General features: G+C 39.8%; 1 protein-coding gene across 11 annotated transcripts in view, besides 1 other annotated feature; it reads right to left on the reverse strand.

The window, feature by feature from the left end:
- Nucleotides 1-5,191: 5,191 nt before the first annotated feature.
- Nucleotides 5,192-22,941, reverse strand: part of CMC2 (C-X9-C motif containing 2) — a 40,438-nt gene continuing 22,688 nt past the window's right edge. For 7 of the 11 annotated variants that reach the window (NR_147842.2, NR_147839.2, NM_020188.5 and 4 more), the window contains 2 exons: nt 20,550-20,621; nt 5,192-14,923 (listed from right to left, as the gene is read on the reverse strand). Coding sequence is in view for 5 of the 11 variants with exons in the window: in NM_020188.5 (NP_064573.1) it covers nt 14,837-14,923; nt 20,550-20,621 (159 nt within the window). In the remaining 6 variants the exon portion in view is untranslated. Of the gene's footprint in view, nt 14,924-19,513; nt 19,624-20,549; nt 20,622-22,941 lie in introns of all 11 variants that reach the window. The other 4 variants (NR_147843.2, NR_147841.2, NR_147838.2 and 1 more) reach the window with 3 other exon arrangements.
- Nucleotides 11,416-11,710: a silencer, noted in NCBI's record as "tiled region #7727; HepG2 Repressive non-DNase unmatched - State 17:Gen3'". NCBI's record gives its function as "represses a minimal TATA promoter and a strong SV40 promoter by Sharpr-MPRA in HepG2 cells {active_cell/tissue: HepG2}" and the evidence as "EXISTENCE:reporter gene assay evidence [ECO:0000049][PMID:27701403]".

Raw genomic sequence — 22,941 nt, forward strand, 5'->3', positions numbered from 1 at the left:
ATACAAATGTTCAACAGATACATTTTTTAAATGCTAAACATTTCTGATCATCAGAGAAATGTGAATTAAAACCACAATGAGAAATCACCTTACAACTGTTAGAATGCCTGTTATCAAAAAGATGAACAATACCAAGTGTTGGTGAGAATGTGGAGGAAGGGGAATCCTTATACACTCTTGGTGGTGTTGGAAATTTGTATAACCATTTTGGAAAACAGTACGGAGGTTCCTCAAAAATTAAAAATAGAATTACCATACATTACAGCAATCCCACTATTGGTATATATCTAAAGGAATTGAAATCAATATGTCAAAGAGATGTCTGCACTGTCATGCTCACTGCAGCATTATTCACAAGAGCCAAGATACAGAAACAACCTAAGTGTCTATCAATGGATACATTGACTTTAAGTGTGGTAAATACAAACAATGGAATACTATTCAGCCTTAGAAAAAGAAACAGAAAATTCTGTCATTTGTGAAGTATCAGTGATCCTACAGGGCATTATGTTAAGTGAAATAAGTCAGGCCCAGGGAGACAAATACCATATTATCTCACCTACACGTAAAATCTAAAAAAGTTGAACTCACAGAAGTAGAGAGTAGAATAGTGGTTACCAGAGGCTGAGGGTGGGAGTAGGTGGAAAGTGAAAAGGACAATGTTGGGCAAATGGATACAAGGTTACAGTTGCATAGAAGGAATACGTTTTGGTGTTCTACTGCACAGCAAGGGAACTACAGTTAATAACGGATATTTCAAAATAGCTAAAAAAGAGGATTTTAAATGTTCTCACCCAGGGCCAGGTGCAGTGGCTCATGCCTGTAATCCCAGCATTTTGGGAGGCAAAGACAGGCAGATCACTTGAGCTCAGGAGTTCAAGACTGGCCCGGGCAAGATAGTGAAACCCTGCCTCTCCAAAAAAACACAAAAATTAACCAAGTGTGGTGGCATGTGTCCATAATCCCAGCTACTCAGGACGCTGAGGCAGGAAGATCGCTTGAGCCTGGGAGGCAGAGGTCACAATGAGCCAAGATTGTGCCACTGTACTCCAACCTGGGCAACAGAGCCAAACTCTGTCTCCAAAAAAGTAAAATAAAAAAAAATAAATAAAAAATAAATGTTGTCACCACAAAGATATGGTAAATATTTGAGGTGACATAGGCTAATTACCTTAATGTGATCATTCCATAATGTATACATGTGTCAAAACATTATATACCCCATAAATATATATAATTGTCAAAAATAAAACTTAAAGAAATTAAAAAGTAAAATTTGCGTTCTACACCACCACTTGTTCTTCCATCTTCCTTTAAGATATACAGACATGCCCCAAGTCTTCTTGCAGGTATAGCTGGGGCTTCCTCATCTTTGTAGTCAGGTGGCATCTAGCAGTGCCTGTCTCAACCAGTCCATAGCCAGGTTTTCAAATCTCACACTCTTTCCTTGGGAGAGGCTGAGAAGATCAATGGAGTCCAAACAGAAATGAGACAAATATTTGGAATTGCACTTCTGAGTTCTTAACTCCAGAAATGCAGGAATTTTGTGCGAATTTACTTCATTGATTCCTTATACTGAAACACAAGGCTGTGTTATCTCTATTGAGAAAAGGCTGTAAAGGCAGACAAAAGGCATTTGTGTCCATACGGCCATGTGCTTTAGCTTCTACTTTTCTCACACACAGACACCAGCTAGGACTCCATGGACACTCATGGTATTCCAAACGTATGATAACTTAAACCACATCATATGTCAAAAGGCTTAATTTAATCATCATTTCAACTCTATGAAGTAAATACTATCATGATTCCCATTTCACAGATGAAGAAACTGAGGTTTGAGGAGTTTAAGTAAATTTGCCCTCCATCACAACTCATAGGTGACAAGAGTTGGAATTTGAATATAGGTCTGTCTGATTTCAAACTTCTAACCATGGCAGTATTCTGCCTCTCAAGAAAGATTAAAATAGTTTAGATTCATAGAAACTTCTCATAGAAAATGCAGCCCTGGGGAGAAGCCTTCAAAATAGTGCTAAGTTTCTCTGTGGGCCTATATTTCTTATTTTGACCATATTCCTATTCCACTCTTGGCATCTCCACTGCCAACATTTGTCTTTCTTTTGAAAGGATGCCCTTTATTTAACAGAAAAACCCAGAACTCTTCAGAATCAAAAAGGCCAAAATAGGCCGGGCGCGGTGGCTCACGCCTGTAATCCCAGCACTTTGGGAGGCCGAGGCGGGCGGATCACGAGGTCAGGAGATCGAGACCATCCCGGCTAAAACGGTGAAACCCCGTCTCTACTAAAAATACAAAAAATCAGCCGGGCGTAGTGGCGGGCGCCTGTAGTCCCAGCTACTTGGGAGGCTGAGGCAGGAGAATGGCGTGAACCCGGGAGCCGGAGCTTGCAGTGAGCCGAGATCCCGCCACTGCACTCCACCCTGGGCGACAGAGCGAGACTCCGTCTCAAAAAAAAAAAAAAAAAAGACCAAAATAAATGTTAAGCATTTAAAAAAAACTGACGTTCTGAGTCCTTTTCTCAGAGAAGCACATATTCTGACAAGTTATATTCTAGATGAAATTGCTTCTTGACTCTAAGCATCTAGGACTCTTTAAAAAAATTATTATAAAAATGTTCAAGCATTCATTAGAGACAAATGTAAAAAAAAAACTTTATGAATCTATCATCCAGTTTCAACAGTTACCAACACATAGCCAATCTTGTTTCATTAATCCCCCTGCACCCACTCTGTTTGCTGGTAATTTAAAGTAAATCCCACACATCTATCATTTTCCCTGTAAATACTTCAAGGCATCTTTAACTAGTAAGGATTTTTTTAAAACATAATCACAATGCCATTACTATGCTTAACAAAATGACAGCAATTTCTTAACATCATCTGAAACCCAATCATACTCAAATTTCTCCAACTGTCTCAAAGATGTCTTTTTTCAGTTGGTTCGTTCCCATCAGAATCCACACAAGATTCACACATTGCATTTGGTTATGTTCTTAAATCTCTTAATCTAAAGCATACATTGAATCCCTCTCCCTCTTCTTTTTTATGCTACTTATTTGCTAAGACAATTGAGTCATTTGTCCTATAGAATATCACACACGTTTTGGATTTCTGTGGTAACGTGTTTCTCTAGCCTTCAGAAAGTGAAAGTTAATTCTAGAAGTTTGATTAGTTTCAAAAATAATATGGTAGTCATTTCATTTAAAAAAATAAGAGGAGGCATGCAATATGTAGCAGTCTTTGAATGATTTAATAATTTTAAGATTTATCACTGAGTTCAGGGTTCACTGGTGTGATTCATCCAATTTTATACCTTCCTACTATCCACTTTCTCTTCCACCTAATGGTTTCAAACACCCACTGATAATTTTAAACATCACTCACCCATTATTGTATTAGGAGCTGAAAATGATGCTTTGTAACTTGTTTTTTGTTTTTTTTTTAGCCAGGGTCTCACTCTGTCACCCAGATTGGAGTGCAGTAGTGCGATCTTGGCTCACTGCAACCTCCGCCTCCCAGGTTCAAGTGATTCTCACACCTCAGCCTACCTAGTAGCTAGGACTACAGGTGCTCACCACCACACTCAGCTAATTTTTGTATTTTTAGTAGAGACGGGGTTTCACCATGTTGGCCAGGCTGAGAACTTTATTTTTATTATTCAGCATAAGAAGGTATAAAGTACTGATCATGTCGCGATCTGGATGAACCTTGAAAATATTATGCTTGGTGAAAGAAGCCAATCACAAAAGAGCACATATTTAACTAAAGCTTCCGTTTATATAATATGTCTGGAAGATAGGCAAATCCATAGAGACAGAAAACATATTAGTATTTGCCTAGGGCTGTGAAGGCGAAAGAGAATGGGGTGTGATTGCTAAGGAGTACAGGGCTTCTTTTGGCGTGAATGAAAAAAAAAAAAAAAAAAAACATATATATATATATATATATATATATATATATATATATATATGTTTTTTTTTTTTTTTTTTTTTTTTGAGACGGAGTCTCGCTCTGTCGGCCAGGCTGGAGTGCAGTGGCGCGATTTCTGCTCACTGCAAGCTCTGCCTCCCGGGTTCACACGATTCTCCTGCCTCAGCCTCCTGAGTAGCTGGGACTACAGGCGCCTGCCACCATGCCTGGCTAATTTTTTTGTATTTTTAGTAGAGACGGGGTTTCACCGTGTTAGCCAGGATGATCTTGATCTCCTGACCTTGTATATTTTAAACTTGGGTTGTGGTGATGTTTGGACAATTTTGTGAATATAATAAAAACCATTTATTCAATGATTGAGTTTCATGGTATATGAATTATATCTCAAGAAATATGTTAAAAAGAACTTTATGGGCTGGGCGCAGTGGCTCGCGCCTGTAATCCCAGCGCTTTGGGAGGCCGAGGTGGGTGGATCATTTGAGGTCAGGAGTTCGAGACCAGCCTGGCCAACATGGTGAAAACCGTCTCTACTAAAAATACAAAAAAATTATCTGGGCAGTAGTGGCATGCACCTGTAATCCCAGCTACTTGGTGGGGCTGAAGCAGGAGAATCGCTTGAGCTTGGGAAGTGGAGGTTGCAGTGAGCCAAGATCATGCCACGGCACTCCAGTCCGGGCAACAGAGACCCTGTCTCAAAATAAATAAATAAATAAATAACTTTCTCTCAGTCATCCATTTGGTTATGGTTATTTTCAATAGTTTATGCCAGAAAGTTTGGACAAATATTTTGTTTTCCTTTCACAGTAATGAGTTGGATACCCTAACAACCTTCAGTGATGTTAACGCCTTTCAAAGCATTTTTATGAACTCATGGATATTTACGTATTCAATGCGTATAAATCTATTGCATTCACTATTCTTTTCGATGTAAGCATTGTTTCACCTGTGGCCACTGGGCACTCCTTCAAGGTAGCTCCTGGGTCTTATTGACAGGACCCCAGCAGTCTTTGATGCTTCCCCTGCTTTCTGGCATAAGATAGCTCAGGTTCAACATGACATTTACTGCCCAAGAGCTGGAATCAGCCACTTCTCCAAAGAGACCTGGTTTTTAGTGGGCAATGGTATTAGGAAGCATAATCTGAGTGCTAAGGATGCTAATTGCTACTGAGGTGTCATTGCTTCAAAGACCTTTTCAGTGGACAGAATTAGGAAATACTTCTTAAAAAAAATAATGAATTCAAAGTACTATTTCCAATTCAAATTTAATGCATGTTTTGACTTGAATTTTACACTTGTATCTTGTTTTGGTCTTAGGTTGAAAATCTTGGTTTCTACTGACACTAACATCATAACTTTAAAACGTGATATTTTATAATACCAATTTCAAAACAATATTATTTTTATTATAAAGTTTTACTTTTTTTGCAGTTCTCCTTATCTTCAGGATGTATCACCTTCTGGAGATGTAAAGTCAAAATATTGTATTTGAACAACACTTATAATCATTTCCTTTCTGTGGTTATAAAATCAACTTGACATGTACTCGAGTTATTTGTTTCAGCTTGTTTTCAAGTTTTAGGAATTTCTTCTTTTCTTTATATAATCACCATATAGTCATACATACAGACACACGAAATCTTCATTCCTTTGTATAGATTCATGGTATACCTTTGTGTAAATGCATCATTGTTTATTTAACTACTGTCCTATTCGTAGACATATAGAGCCCGTCTTATTTTAATTACATCCAACAATGTACCTATCAAGTGATCTACAGAAAAAGAAAATGTAAATTTTAAAGTCCTTTGGGCTACTTCAACACTTTATTTATTCTTTATTCACTAAAAATTCATTCATTCAGTGAAAAAGCATTTATTGAATACCAATTATGTGTTAACCACTGTCCTAAGAGCTGCAGATACAGGAATAATGTGGTGTCTGCCCAGAGAGGTGTCAGCCCAGAGAGCTTTCAGTCTACACATAACCTGAATTCCATGTATCATGAACTTGCTCATAAATTATCTGCTAGCTTAACTAAAATTTTAGCAGATAAAGCCATCACAGCAACTTGAACTATCCCTAGAGAATTTTCCTTTAATTGTATCTGCTTTGAAAAGATATCCTCGTTTTTTGTTTTGTTTTGTTTTGTTTTTTGAGACGGAGCTCGCCGTGTCGCCCAGGCTGGAGTGCAGTGGCACGATCTCGGCTCACTGCAAGCTCCGCCTCCCGGGTTCACGCCATTCTCCCGCCTCAGCCTCCCAAGTAGCTGGGACTACAGGCGCCCACTACCACGCCCGGATAATTTTTTGTATTTTTAGTAGAGACGGGGTTTCACCGTGTTAGCCAGGATGGTCTCGATCTCCTGACCTCGTGATCCGCCCGCCTCGGCCTCCCAAAGTGCTGGGTTTACAGGCGTGAGCCACCTCGCCCAGCCTTCCTCGTACTTTTCAATATTTGTAGCAAGTCCAATCATTAGCTCAATAATCCAATCATAGCATTTTAGGAAATATGGATGCTCTGTAAGCAAATACTCCAGTGAAAAATAGCCAGGTCTAAATTTCTGTATGCAGAATTGCAGAATGCTTTACTTTCTTAGCCCTCTACTCGCCAGAGTTGAGGAAAAAGTAAATGCCCTGAGAATTTCGTAACAGCTTTGCCCTTAAGATTTTGCTGTCATATTCAATGACAACATACCATATTAACGCTTCCTATTTTTTTTTCAAATCACATTCTCAACATAATATATCACCAATAAGAACTTTTCTCAAAAACTTAAATACAAAAGTTATTTGAGGAAACTGCTTAAAAATTAAATGCAGAAAAAAGAGTAAGCTAGAAGTGATGACAAGAGTGGATGAAGGTCATTAACCCTAAAGAAGTAGGCATTTTATGGAAGGCAGTTACATCAGAAAGAGTCTAAGTCAATGCTTCTCCAATTTTTATATGCATGCAAATCATCTGGGGATTTCATTAAAATGCAGATTCTCAGTTAGTAGGTCAGGGTGGGGTCTAAAACTCTCCATTTCTTTTTTTTATTTTTATTTTTGTAGAGACAGGGTCTTACTATGTTGCCCAAGCTGGTCTTGAACTCCCTGGCCTCAAGCAATTCTCCCACCTCGGCCTTCGAAAGTACTGGGATTACAGGCGCAAGCCACCCCACACGGCTGAGATTCTGCGTTGCTAACAAACTTTCCCGGGTTACGCTAAAGCTGCTGGCCCACGGACCACAGTCTAATGGCCCAAATGCAGATGAAGATGAAGGTCTCTGAACAGAAGATGCTCTTATAACTCCTCTCTTTGCCATGCCCTCCCCAACTCCCATCCTCCCCCCATCTTCTAGGAATGAGTTAGTTCTCTAACTGTTGAAAATATAATCATTCCTAGGGGGCAGTCTTTCCAAGGTAAAATTTTATGTACAGGATATCTGTTTCTGGTAAAATAGCTCATTAGGTAATCTGAAAACACTCCTGCTAAAAAGCTATCTACAAATACTAGATAGCATATATCAAATATAGTTTTTAAAGGTGTAGTTGAGCTCACAAGAAAGGAAAGAAAATCCTTGGGGGTTGAAATCAGAGAGAACTGTAAACCAGAAAGTAAGTGCATCAGCACATGCTATGCAGCCTAGACCAGTTCCAGGTACCAGGAAGTGAGGTTTTCATAAACACAATGGAAAAAGATGGAAGATACTGAGTCTCTACGAGGAATGGTGTGAGAAACAAGAATATCACATAAAGCCAGGAGATGGTAATCCTCTAAGAAAACATTAACTAGAAAACATAACACTTGCCAGCATAGGGAGGTAAGAGTAAGGCCAGTGTGACTCACCTTGGGCTCTGAGCAGAAAAAATATGTTTCCCATTGGTAAGTTAAGTGTGTGTGTCAGAAAGTTACTGGTGGGAAATTCTGGAAAGATAGTTGTGACTGTGGAAGCAACTATCTTTTTTATGATATAAAAAGGGCAGGAGGAGAGACAGTATTTACAACAAAATTAGGTTAAAATGTAACCCTCATATCCCAAAATACAAATGAGTGAGGTGAGGACAGAGCATCAAGAGCCAGAGGAGTCCTGGGAGGTCTCAGCATCGATGTGGAAAGCAGCACAGGGAGGCACAAGGTACCTGAACCAACTAAGGACCGAAGAACCCAAAACAACAGATATTCACTGCAAAGCCCGGAGGGCCAATTTGAGAACAGCAATTGGTACTGGGAAGGTTCTTGCCCACTTCAGTAAATGGGGCCCACAGGAAGGTCTGAAGGGGCTGGAACAATTTAGCATTAATGAACTCTCAAAACTGATCCCGTAGGGTTCCCTCCCAGGACAAGACTCCAAAGTGAGGAGGAACTGCAGGGAGCAGAAAAAAAATTGAACAGGATAGGGACAACAGAAGTGATGAAGAGAGCCAGGCACGGTGGTTCAGGCCTGTAATCCCAGCACTTCAGGAGGCCGAGGCAGGTGGATCACTTGAGGTCGGGAGTTCAAGACCAGCCTGGGCAACATGGTGAAACCCCGTCTCTACTAAAAGGACAAAAAAATTAGCCGGGCATCATGGTGCATGCCTGTAATCCCAGCTACTTGGGAGGCTGAGGCACAAGAATCACTTGAACCCAGGCAGCAAGGTTGCAGGGAGCCAAGATCACACCACTGCACCCCAGCCTGGGTGACACAGCAAGACTCCGTCTCAATTAGAAAAGAAAAAAACCCATGGAATATTGTTCCCATGAGAACTTCCTTAGGAATCTGCTGGAAAATGAGGCTCAGACAACCAAAATGACTAGGGAGATATTAACACAAGACTAGCGGTGAGCATTAAGTATGTCTTTATTGTTTATATAATGAAGATTAAAAGGACAGTGTAGTAAGCAATGACAGACAGGTATTTAAATAACTTACCTGACCATTGGGAGGGATGAAGAAACTTCAGAGCCACATTGCAATTAAAAAGCTGTCTAGCAAAAAAGAGAAAACTGCGGCTACAGTTGCAGGCTCTATAACCCCACCATTTCTGCTCTGATCCATACCAGAAAATGGATGCTTCATGGACCGTCTCTCTCTCAATTTAAGTCAATTCCAAATCCAAATCTCACCGATTAATGGACATTAATTCCTATCTGGAATCCTAACTGTAAAGGAATTGGAGAAAATGCAGTATTTAGCTTTTGAGTTTCACAAATATGGGAAGGCACACTAGAAGGAGGTGCAGTAGAGGTTGAGCAAGTCTATCTACAATTACCAAAAGGAACTTCCTTAGGGAGGAACAGACATCTTCCAAAAACCTACTACAAATTTGCTACTTGTCAGTGAAATGTAAGGATTTAACATCAGTCACAAGAGAAGTCTGATGTATCTATTAAACATTATACTGAATGTTCTAAGTACAATAAAATAAGGAAGTATAAACATTGGAAAGAAACAAATGATTCATTACTGTTACTATTCAAAAGTGATGTGACTGTCTACATAGAAAAATCTAAAATAATCTATAGGCCCCAGAATTATTAAGAAAGTTTGGCAAGCCTTCTGAATGTAAGATAAATATACAGAAGTCAATTACACTCCAATGTATCAGTAATAGGAAATTAGAATAAATTGGATGCAGGGGCTCATGCCTATAATCCCTGCTTTATAAAAAAATTTTAAGAGATATTAGAATAAGTAATTTTAAAAATACCCCTTAGACACAAATCTAGCAAAAGATGTATAAGAACACTATTTTAAAAATCATAAAATTTTCCAGCCTGGACATGGTGAAACCCTATCTCTACTAAAAAATACAAAAATTAGCAGGGCATGGTGGCACATGCCTGTAGTCCCAGCCACTCAGGAGGCTAAGGCACGAGAATTGCTTGAAGCCAGGAGGTGGAAGTTGCAGCGAGCTGAGATCATACCACTGCACTCCAGCCTGGGTGACAGGGTGAGACTCTGTCTCAAAAAACAACAACAAAAATACAAATCATAAAATCTTAAAAACATTTGGGGTGTAATTTAGCAACTTCTAGTAAGTTTGAAAATGCATACCTTACAGCCCAATAATTAAAATCCTAGGTTTATACCTAAAAACACTCTCCCAGATTGGACAAGAAGGTAAGTAAGAACGTTCATTGAAGTTTACAATAGCAAAGACTGGATATCTAAGTGACCATCTACGGGGAAATACATAAACCGTGGTATAGGCCTACAACAAAATGCTATATAGCAGGCAAAACAAATAAACAAGAACCTCATTTATCAACATAGTATTTTTTTTTTAAAAAAAAAAGGTACGCTACCAAAGGCTACACACATCATGACGCCTCCTAAGTAAAATGACTAAACATGCAAAATAAAATATGGCTATGGATACTGACATACATACATTTTATATATATATATATATATATGTATGAAATCATGCATATATATATATGTATGAAATCATGCATGAGAATGAAATATATCAAAGTCAGGGTAGTAGTTACCACCAATAAAGAAATAAGTGGAACGGGCTTGGGGTGACAAACACAGGAGGCTTTACCCACTTTTGTATTATTATTTTTTTAAACCTGTATTTTTTAAAAGTATGACTTAGATAGCAGCTATGTGAGTGTTCGTATTAGTCTGTATAGTTTTCTGTAAACCTGAAACATTTTGTCATAAAAAAGAATAGCATTAATACCACAAAAAAGGTCCTTTACAGGATTTGGGCAATCTTCCCTTTTGCTCACTTCAGACGTGGTATACACTCAGCCAGTTTCTTTTCTCTAAGTGAGAGAAACTCAGCCACCTGTCTCTGCTCTCCCCTCCCTACTGTCAGTCTTGTTCTCCATCTCCTGTCCTCCCATGTGACCAGCTGCCGGTGAGATCAGACTAGAGCTTAGAGGACAGAAATGGCCCCACAGGCCTCTAGCCCAGGCCACCTGCTCCATCTGATACCAGAGGCAGGAGACTGGTAACAATAAAGCATCCCTTTGCTTTCCCTTCACCACTTTCTGCTATGTACTTATCTCCTTCAGTGACCTCTCTAGAGGAGGCAGGGATGTCTATGGATTAAGGTAGATTCTGGTATAGCTGGTTCCCTGAATATGATATCATTTAAGGGGCACAAATTTCAATATCAGGGTTTCAATATCAGGGTGTAGTGAAAGGAGCAACTCCCTTGGGACAGTGAGGATTTTTTGTTTTTCGTTTTTTTTGTTTTTTTCTAAGAACAGAATGATTTGTATGTCTACCAGGCAGATCAATGGCATAATTTGGTTCAGCCCAAGCCCTTTCTATAGAAAACTAATTGTGCTTTGAGCTAAAAACTCCATGGAGATTAATCTGATCTTAAACTTCATTTATAAAAGGTGAGAAACAGCTCAACTTTCTAGCCTCACTCTTAAGTAAAATTGTGTAGTGCTTCCTAAAATAAACCATTAATTCACTGTCACCAGAGCATCAAGGTTCACAACATTCTGCAAAACTAGATTTCTCAGGAAAACCTTGGCCTAAGTTCTTCAGCTTCCAAGAGATGGTCTCTTATGACCCAAAAGTTTACTTATCGTCTGCAAGTCCACAGTAAGGAAATCTCTTCCTTCACTTGGTATCCTGCACAGACCCTACAATGCCTTCCTGTTGCCCTTAGCAGGAAAGCCAGACTCCCTAAGAGGACACAGATGGTCCTTCGTGATGTGAACCGTCACTAGAACCACATCCATCTTATTCCATGGTATCACCTGCACCCAGCACAATGCCAGAAGCTTCATAAAGGCAAGAAGACATGGAACCTCTGCACCTCCCAACCCCACTCTCCCTCCAGCTTCTTCGGCTTCCACTGCATATGGGAATTCAAAATATTTGGAAATCCTCAGGAAAAAGTGCGCTTGCTCTAGACAGGAGAAACAGATTTCACTCTGATCTACAGCAGGCTGGGGAAAGTCAGCAAGGCTGATGAGATGTAAAGCATGGAATAAGATGCAGCCACCCCTGGGACTGGCTTCCTCTATGGAAAGGCAGGATGTACAGGGAGCCAGAGAATGGGGCCGGCTTGGGATGAGTTCTAGAGGCCTGGCCCTTCCTTCTGCCTCATATTAAGCCCCTCACCCCTTTACCCCCTGCCCCATCAGCTGGGGCCCCACTCAAACGGTATCAGCCCTAGTGATTTGGTGCCTTCTACCAAACTACGGAGGAAGTGTTTCCAATACCCCAATTTGGGTGCACTTGAGAGAAAAACAATATTGAGGGGGCCCTTACTTTGTGCCAGATAATCTATCACATACATCTCAACCAATCCTCACAATAACTCTATGTGACAGGTACTGTCACTGGGTTGAACTGGTTTAACCATAACTATTCACCGAATAACCAGAAAGATCTTTATAAAATATAAATAAATGAAATCATAACCACTCCCTAAAACTTTCTAATGGTTTTCCATTATGCTCCAAATAACATGCAAGTTCCCTGAGGTGATGTCCAAGGCCTGTGTGTTCTGGCCCTGCCCACCTGTGTCCTCAGCTCATGCCACCCTCCCCCTTGCTCACTGTGCTCCAGTTCACTAGCATTTTATTTGTCAAACTCCCTTCCTAGAGGAAGCTGGAAAGGTAGATCATTGCCATAGCCTTCAGTGTGTACTTTACTCTACAGGGATCAGCAACAGCTGCAACACAAGAGAGTAAGACCTAAAAACAGTAGGTGGTTTGAATATCCCATAAAAACGTACTCATATATTACTTATAAAATTTTTAAGAATGAACTTCCAAAGTTTCATCCTGCTCTTATGGTCAGCTACTGACATTGGCCTACAGGGCCTTAGCTGGCATCTGCATGCTGACATCTCCCAATTTTGTTCTAATCCAGGTGACTCTAACAAGCTGCAGACCTAAATACCCAGCAGCAACCCGGAAGCCCTCTCCCGCTGGATCCTCCACACACACTTCACCTCCCCAGTACTCCCTCCCAAGCAGGCACAAATCAAATGCCTGAGACATCCTAGACACTTCCTTAAACCCTACACCTAGTCAGTCATGCTGACTCAATGCTTGAATCGTCACTCCTCCTAATCCCCAAAGCCACATCTTTCATCCAGGCCCTCATTTCTCACTCAAGTTAGCACAAAAACCTAATTGCTCTCCTTGGGCGTTATCTTCCTTCCCCTCCAATTTATCCCCCAAACTATAACCAAAAAAACTTACTAAAATACAAATTGAAATATATCAGCCTTCCAACTAACTCCTCTACCCAAATCCCTAATCACCATATTAAAACCTGCAACTGGTCATCACAGCACTGAAAATAAAATTCCAACAGATTTCAAAGCTGTCTATGATCTTCCTCCACTCTAAGCTCCCATATTCTAGTCATGCTAAATGCCTTAAAGTGCGCCTCAGAATGTATCCCATTTTCACTCATTTGTCAAAGGTCATCTTTGCTAAATAGCTTTCTTGGAATAGCTCCTTCTTCATGAAGACTGAACATGAAAGTCCTCTGTCTTCTATGACATCTACCTAATCATGGCACTTTGATGATTACAGGTGACTAAAAGTCAACTTTTCAGTTAACTACAAGATTCTAAAGGCAAAATGTCTCATTTCTGTATTTCTACTGCCTGACACTAGGGGGACTGAATAAATATTCATACACTTTGTCTTGGAAGGTACTTCAGAATTAATTCTGGTTCTTTCCCCATCCTTTCACTGAATGTCTGTTATGCTCTGTAATCGACGTACTGAGCGAAAGTCCAGCTTCTTGAATACCTCCTGTGATGGGGAAGTCACTTATTAAACACCAACACCAACAAGGCCTCATGCTGGATATTATACACAGAACTCCACTAGAAGGAGCTCACAGCTGAGTCTGTTCCCTGACACCTGACAAGATCAAGCCCCTGCTGTGACTGCAGCTGGAAGCTGCTGACTTCCAGATTGTCACAGGTCTCAGAAACACTTGGCAGAAGGAACACTGGTGAAATGACTGCTAGAATTGGGCACGGGAAGAACAGTCCTATACTCAGCAGAGAGGAGACACACTGGCCTAAGGTTAATGTCCAGGAGTTAACTGGCACCTCGAGTGGACACATTCAACCAAATGGGAAAGCAAAGTCTGCTAAGACTCAATTCCTAACCAGATGAAATTTTATCAATGTTAAGTGTAAATATTTAATCTTTTAGTCTGGGCACAGTGGCTCACGCTTGTAATCCCAACACTTTGGGAGGCTGAAGTGGGCGGATCACCTAAGCTCAGGAATTTGAGATCAGCCTGGCCAACATGGCAAAACTCTGTCTCTACCAAAAATACAAAAACCAGCCAGGCATGGTAGCCTGCGCCTGTAGCCCCAGCTACTAGAGAGGCTGAGGCTGGAGAATCACTTGAATCCGGGAGGTGGAGGTTACAGTAAGCTGAGATCGCACCACTGCACTCCAGCCTGGGCAGCAAAGTAACACTATGTCTCAAAAAAAAAATTTTTTTTAATCATTTAGAAAATCACTCTTTAAAAACAATAAAGTTGCAACATTTTCAAATAGTTAACACTGCTGGGATTTCCCCAGAATTCTTCAACATCATGTTGTCAAAAAGAAAAAGCCTAATGGCAACATTTTCCTCTAATGCCAAAAGAATCTAAGAGAAAGGAGAAAAAAATTATTTAAATTATTTTATTGAAGGAGATAAGTTACTCAGATATTAACTGGTTGTAGGCAAAGGGAATAAACATGGTGAAGTCAGGTTTGCTGGTAAAGGGGAGACAGTACTAAACGCCCTGCCCAACAAATACTCAGAATCCAGGGTTTTCATATTTCTCCATGGTTCAATCTCTCACAGGTCACTTTCCATTCAAAGGATTATGGAGACCAAATAAGACAGGATTCTTTCAGGTATCAACCCAGAGTCTTTAGGTCTTCTCTCAGCCAAGGCATCGAGTGAAAATACAATTTATTTTTCGGATTCCTCTGGAGGATTAAAAAGTTTCTTTCGCATTGCAATGCCATGCTCCCTGCTCTTGGTCCTGTTTTCTACGTACTGAAAAATAAAAGAAGGGGGGGAGAAAAGAAACAGCAGATTATGTCACTATTTATAGCAGTTTACTATTTAGAAATATTTGCAAAATATAAATGTCCTTTGAGGTTAACAGGGTTTAAATTTTTTAAACATGTTCTTACTGACAAAATTCTTATCTTTTATTTAACCAAATCTGAGATTGGAAATAGTTACCTTAGAGAGTATCTCATATCTAGCACAATTTCATTCAATACAGTACAGCATCTACATGCTAATAGATGCACAAATGTTTGCTCAATCAATTTCCTCCCAAAATTTGAATTAAATAAGTACTGAAGATGGGCAAATTCTGTCCATGTTCTCCAGGGGCTTGCAGTCTAACTAGTCCTCTAACTTCTGCTGAGTACCTCTAGTGGAGAGGCTCACTTCCTTGAGAGGTAGCCTGTCTAACTGTTGGGACAATTCTACTCATTCCCAAGTTTTTCATTTTAAACCAAAAGTGCTTCCCTGTAAACTCCTTGAGAGGTAGCCTGTCTAACTGTTGGACAATTCTACTCGTTCCAAAGTTTTTCATTTTAAACCAAAAGTGCTGCCTTGTCAACTACCACCTTTTATTTCTTCTTGTCTGCTATAATTTTCAAACATTTAATTACAGATAACCCACTTACTACCTTTTGCGCTGAACATTGCTAGTTTCCACAACTGCTGCACAGAACACAGCCTCCATCTTTTAATATCTAACCTATAAAATGACTTTTATTTCATAAAGCACTTTAACATTAATGCCCCTTACCAAAAAAAAAAATCACAACCAAAATTGAATACAGTGCTCCAGTCACAATGACAGACATAGACTACAGTGGGCCTACATCTTAGACCAGCTCACATTGTATTTCTTTAGACATTATCAAGAGTAACTAGCTCTTAGCAACCATATTATCCTATTGACTCATATGGAAATACATAGCTCAACTTCCCAAGGTTTCTTCATCACGAACAGTTAACAAACCTGATACTCCTCAAATCCTATGTTTCTTAATCAGCTACATATAAACACAGTTTTCACCTCAAGAGGTTTTCAGCCTAGTATTCTGATCTGGCCAGCAGGTTACAACAGGAGACACAAAGCCTGGCACTTAGATTTTCTTAAATAGTTAACCTACATTTAAAGCAGAGGACCTTAAAAGTGTTTTTATATGTATATATGTACATGCTTATAATACATACACCAATCCAACACACTTTAAAGGTGGATGAGTGTGTTTTCCCCTGGGCAGAAGGGGAAAAGGGTAAAAGTAAATTCAAACAGAAAAAACTGAAAACATGTGAACAGTTAAACATCAGAATCTTTTAGGAGCCACAGATCTGGAGAGCGAGGCCACAGAAATTAAAGATTAGTGATACCGAGCTCATCAGGGACAAACCCCGCCACCCAAGAGAGAGTAATGAGGGGATTCATGACTTTGAGTTACTTCACTCTTCTGGACCAGTAACTTCAAATATAAGGAGGTGGGCTAGATAATCTTTAAGAAGTTTTCTAGGTCAAAAGTTTTGACTGAAGGATTCTAACATATCTTCTGGAATGGTAGTTTTCAAACTTTTTATTACTTCCTTGTCAAAAGGCTACTTCAGGCCGGGTGCGGTGACTCATGCTTATAATCCCAGCACTTTGGGAGGCTGAGGCGAGCAGATCACCTGAGGTCAGGAGTTAGGGACCAGCCTGGCCAACATGGTGAAACCCCGTCTCTACTGAAAATACAAAAATTAGCAGGGCATGGTGGCATGCACCTGTAATTCCAGCTATTCAGGAGGCTGAGGCAGGAGAATCACTTGAATCCAGAAGGAGGAGGTTGCAGTGAGCCGAGATCGCACCACAGCACTCCAGCCTGGGTGACAAGAGTGAGACTTCGTCTCAAAAAAAAAGCTACTTTAAATTACACATGAAGCACCAGGTCCCTTCAAAGTCATTCATTTTATCTATCATACATTAAATTTACTCATAAAATTGTTGGGGAAAAAATCAATAAAACGTATTCTAGAACAAGGAAGGATACCTGCTCTGAGAAAAAGCTTTCATATCTACCTTTAATCACGTCTACTGGATTGCCCCCAGCAATCAGGTTGAGAAGGGTCTTAAGGGAAACTCTTCAGAAGATAATACTTTGTAGCAGGCCAATAAAATAAGTTACAAAGCAAATTAAAATATAGTCTACATTAAAATATGCTAAGACATCTCCAAAGGAAGTCCAGATGGTCCCTGAATAAAAGGGGAGAAAAGGATGAATATGAAGTTACTCACAAAACTCAATCAAACAATACAGACAGAATGAAAGGCCAATTAACCCCAAACCAAACAAAACAATTAAGAGGGACAAAAGAGAATGCCACAAAAGTACTATTAGTGTTTCTTTTCAAGAAGAAGAACAAAAGGCCAGGTGCAGTGGCTCACACCTGTAATCCAAAACTTTGGGAGGCCAAGATGGGAGAACTCCTTGAGCCCAGGAGTCTGAGACCACCCTGGGCAACACAACAAGACTCCATCTCTCTAAAAAAAAGAAAAAAAAAAAGAATAAAAGGAGTGACACAGCGGAGTCCCAACAAGAAATGGCCATACCCTTTTTCTACTTAAAAGCTTCATGGAGGCTGGGCGCAGTGGCTCACGCCTGTAACCCCAGCACTTTAGGAGGCCAAGGCGGGCGGATAACAAGCTCAGAAGATCAAGACCATCCTAGCTAACACGGTGAAGCCCCGTCTCTACTAAAAATACAAAAAATTAGCTGGGCGTGGTGGTGGGCACCTGTAGTCCCAGTTACTCAGGAGGCTGAGGCAGGAGAATGGCGTGAACCCGGGAGGAGGAGCTTGCAGTGGGCTGAGATTGCGCCACTGCACTCCAGCCTGGGTGACAGAGTGAGACTCTGGCAAAAAAAATAAAAAAATAAAAAAGCTTCATGGAATGAAGTAATCAGATGACATATGAAGCAAACAGTAGCAGGAAAGCATCTGAAGCAAGCATTAAGAGTAGAGAAGAAATACATGAGTGCAGACTCAGAGATTAGTGATGGGCAAGCAGACAGAAAAACATCTACAAATTAGAGAATAAACATCTACAAATTAGAGAATAAAGTAACATAACTACACAGAGGACTTAGAAAAGAATTCAAAGAGAAAACATGAGATGTATAGGAAAACAAACTCAGACAAAATAAGAAAAATATCTCCAACGGTCTACCAAAAAGTCACTAACAGATCTCAGGCCAGCTGAGAAGACAATTTCATATGAAGATCTAATTGACAAAGCAGTGGCAAAATTTCTGAACTATACAGGAAAAAAATTTAAAAACATGAAAAAAACCTATGTTATACAGCTGAAAGTATGTAAAAAACAAATAGCCATACTGAATAAAATAATATGAGCTATATTTTTCCATAAGCTATTTATTTTATTTATTTTTTATTTTATTTTTTTTTAATTTATTTAGAGACAGAGTCTCTCACTCTGTCACCCAGGCTAGAATGCAGTAATGTGATCTGGGCTCACCGCAACCTCCGTCTCCCAGGCTCAAGTTATTCTCCTGCCTCAGCCTCCCGAGTAGCTGGAACTACAGGCGCCCGCCACCATGCCTGGCTAATTTTTTTGTACTTTCAGTAGAGCTGGGTTTCACCATGTTGGCTAGGCTGGTCTCAAACTCCTGACCTCAGGTGATCCGCCTGTCTTGGCCTCTCAGAATGCTGGGATTATAGGCGTGGGCCACCACACCCGGCCAATATTATTTTTTAGAGATAGGGTCTCACTCTGTCACCCAGACTGAAGCACTGTGGCGACCTAGATAGCTCACTGCAGCCATGAACTCCTGGGCTCAAGCGATCCTCCCGCCTCAGCCTCCCAAGTAGCTGGGACCACAGGTCTGTGCCACCACACTTGGCTAAATTTTAAGAGATTTCTTTGAGACAGGGTCTCACTATGTTGCCCAAGTTGGCCTCAAAGCTTTCACCTCAAAGGATCCTCCTGCCTCAGCCTCCCGAATAGCTGGGATTACAGATGCCAGCTCACAAGTTTACTATTAAAGAAACATCACCCTAGGTGTATTTTTCATGTAAACTGGCTTTTTCATATAAAGGACAAACATTTTTAGTAAATAATTTAAAAACACTAATAAGGCTGGGAATGGTGACTCATGTCTGTAGTCCCAGCACTTTGGGAGGCCAAGGTGGGAGGACTCACCCTAGGTGTATTTTTCATGTAAACTGGCTTTTTCATATAAAGGACAAACATTTTTAGTAAATAATTTAAAAACACTAATAAGGCTGGGAATGGTGACTCATGTCTGTAGTCCCAGCACTTTGGGAGGCCAAGGTGGGAGGACTCACCCTAGGTGTATTTTTCATGTAAACTGGCTTTTTCATATAAAGGACAAACATTTTTAGTAAATAATTTAAAAACACTAATAAGGCTGGGAATGGTGACTCATGTCTGTAGTCCCAGCACTTTGGGAGGCCAAGGTGGGAGGACTGCTTGAGGTTAGCAGTTTGAGACCAGCCTGGCCAAAACAGTGAGACTCTCATCTCTACAAAAAAATGTGTAAAACCTTAACCAGGCATGGTGGTACGCACCTGTCGTCCTAGCTACTCAGGAGGCTGAGGTGGGAGGATCACTTGAGTTTGAGGCTTCCGTGAGTTACGATCACCCTACTGCACTCCAGCTTAGGTGACAGAGCAAGAACCTGTCTCAAAAGAAAAAAGAAAAAAAGAAACAAACTATTACTCTTCACTGAGTACTCCAAAAAGTTCTTCAAACAGTAAAGGTGAATGTCACAATTTAAAGGGAATCCAGGAAGGGAAAAACAGCCTAAGCAGAAAACAAAATCAAAAGAAAGATGTTGGACAACTTCAAATATTATATTTAAATCTTTCAATATGAGGCAAAAAAAAAAAAAAGTTCAAAAATAACAAAAATGATATCTGAAAGGCAAAATTTTAGCCATCATATATTTTTAAAAGTTCTGGACACAAAAAATCTGATGTATGAAACAGAAATTGAATCAAATTTCTTTTCAAAGGTTTAAAATGCACTCTGCTTATTTGGCAGTGCCTGGAAAAAGACAATGAACTGTGTACTGTGGCTATTTGCCCAAGTCCAAGTTGTGCCCTAAAATCAAGTTCAGGAGATGACAGTGTTCCAAAACAAGTCAAATTAGATCCCTGTGGCTTACACAAACCATAACTACAAAGAAATTCAAAATGTTAAAGCTGAAAACAGCCTAATTCTAGCCTCCTCAATTTATATATAGAAATTGAGGCCCTGAGAGTTTTAGTTACCTACCAATCAGCTAATAGGTGACTGATATAAGTCTTTCTGCCGGCCAGAGATACAACTTCCTAAACCATTAAATTCATCCAGATGACCTACAGTAATCATCATAAGGAAGTTGTTTTCCTCATTTGTGTTCATGGCCAAAAAGCCATGTTCTAAAACTGTCCCCAGAAAAGCTTTCATTTCTTCCCCTAAACAGAGGAAGTTCATACATGTAAAGTCAATTTTCTGTTACACTAAAATGTGGGAAAAATTCAATAATGGCAGTAATACACAATATTCAAAAATGTTCTGTTCTATTGTTCAACCATATCCATCCTTTGACACTTTTCTTACCTCATTCTTCAGGCATTTTCTCAACTCCCGATCAACATCATTACAATAACCAAAAAATTTCAGAATGTTGTGCTAAAAGGAAGAAAAGGAGTAAAATATTTCATCCCATAATATGCCAAGGTTTGGGGCACATAAAATTTAAATACTGCCACAGACATGAGTTTACAGTGTCACTTTGTTAATAAACAAGTAATAGTTAAATCACATGTATAAAACACAGTTGGCCCTTGAACAACATGGATTTGAACTGCATGAGTCCACTTATACCTGGATTTTCTTTCAATAAATATATTGAAAACATTTTTGAACATTTGGAACAATTAAAAAAAACCTCACAGATGAACTACCATAGCCTAGAAATATCAAAAAAATTTAAGAGAAAGATACGGCATAAATGTGTAAAACATGTAAATACTGGCCGGGCACGGTAGCTCACAACTGTAAATTCCAGCACTTTGGGAGGCCAAGACGGGTGGGTGGATCACGAGGTCAGGCGTCAAGATCGGCCTGGCCAAAATGGTGAAACCTCATCTCTACTAAAAGTACACAAAAAATTAGCCAGGCGTGGTGGTGGGCGCCTGTAATCTCAGCTACTTGGGAGGCTGAGGCAGGAGAACTGCTTAAACCCAGGAGGCGGAGGATGTAGTGAGTCGAGATCGCGCCCCTGCACTACTCCAGCCTGGGCGACGGAGTGAAACTCCGTCTCAGGAAAAAAAAAAAAAAAAAAAAAAAAAGTGAATACTAGTCTATTTTGTCATTTACTACCATAAAACATATACAAATTTTAAAAAGATAAAATTTATCAAAACTAACACACACACAGAACATAAATAGCATCATTCAAATTTGAGAGAATTGTAAGCAAACATAAAGATATATCAAATCACAACTACATAAAATTAACTGCGGTATATACTGTACTGCCGTAATAATTCTGAAGTCACCTCCTATTGCTATTACACTGGGCTCAGACACTACAATTATCCACTTATAACACCCTGTGATACCAATAACATACACAGTAAGCAAGTCATGTTTACTGTAATAACCATAAAACTTGAATAACACCATGGGACCCATACGAAGTGCCACTAGTAATGCTGGAAGTGCTCCCAAGAAGCAGAGAAAAGTAATGACATTACAGGAAAAAGTTGAACTACTTGAAATGTACTGTAGATTGAGGTCTGCAGCTGTGGTTACCTACCATTTCGGACTGACATACATCATCTTGTAAACAGATGATGTAAACTTACAATATCAATAAATACAATACCATACCATAAATGTATTTTCTCTTCCTTATTTTTTCTCTAGCCTACTTTATTGCATGAATACAATATATAATACATATAACATACAAAACATGTGTTAATCACCTATTTATGCTATCAGTAAGGCTTTCAGACAACAGGAAACTCTCAGACAAGTTTTTGGGGAGTCAAAAAGTTATATGTGGACTTTCAACTGCATGGGGGTCAGTGCCCCGAACTTCCAAGCTGTTCAAGGATCAACTATACAAATGAACAAATTATCCTGGTTCTTCTTACAAAGAAGGAATAAATGTTCTGCAAGTAGAAACAAAGATTTAAAGACTTTTTCTTAATGATAGGGAAGCCTACTTACTAACTCACCAAAACCTCACAAAGACAGTATAAAAGTTTTATCATAACCTAACACCCTTTTCTTAAGGGAAATGTTAAAATCACAGCACAATCCATTCTCTATTACAGGGAGTGGTGTCAAGCTGCAGCATGGCCACACTGCCATGGGCAGAGTAACTTCACTACCAAACACTGTCCTGTAAAAGAGTTATCTAATAAATGCTTAGTGCCAGAGCCCTTTTCTCATTTGCCCCCATTCAAAATGTCACCAAAATACATCAAATAAGTAACACAGATGCGCGCAGTGGCTCACGCCTATAATCTCAGCACTTTGGGAGGCCAAGGTGGGCGGATCACCTCAGGTCAGGAGCTTGAGACCAGCCTGACCGACATGGAGAAATCCCATCTCTACTAAAAATACAAAATTAGCCAGGCATGGTGGCATATGCCTGTAATCCCAACTACTCTGGAGGCTGAGGCAGGAGAACTGCTTGAACCTGGGAGGTGGAGGTTGCGGTGAGCTGAGATCGCACCATTGCACTCCAGCCTGGGCAACAAGAGCGAAACTCCATCTCAAAAAAAAAAAGAAAAAAAAACCCACTATCATTAGATGCCCTATAAAGGTCATATAAATAAGCCACTAATTTACAATATAAGGAAATCTGCCTGAAGTTCAGTCTGATTTAAAAAATAAAATAACATCTCCTAGTTGTTTCTAGTCCTATGAGTATTATCGTGGCAAAAAGTATGCGTGCTCTAAAGCAGGTTAAGCTGAAGCCTGAAGTTAAGAA

The sequence above is a fragment of the Homo sapiens genome, chromosome 16, assembly GCF_000001405.40.
Source record: "Homo sapiens chromosome 16, GRCh38.p14 Primary Assembly".
Taxonomy (NCBI): Eukaryota; Metazoa; Chordata; class Mammalia; order Primates; family Hominidae; genus Homo; species Homo sapiens.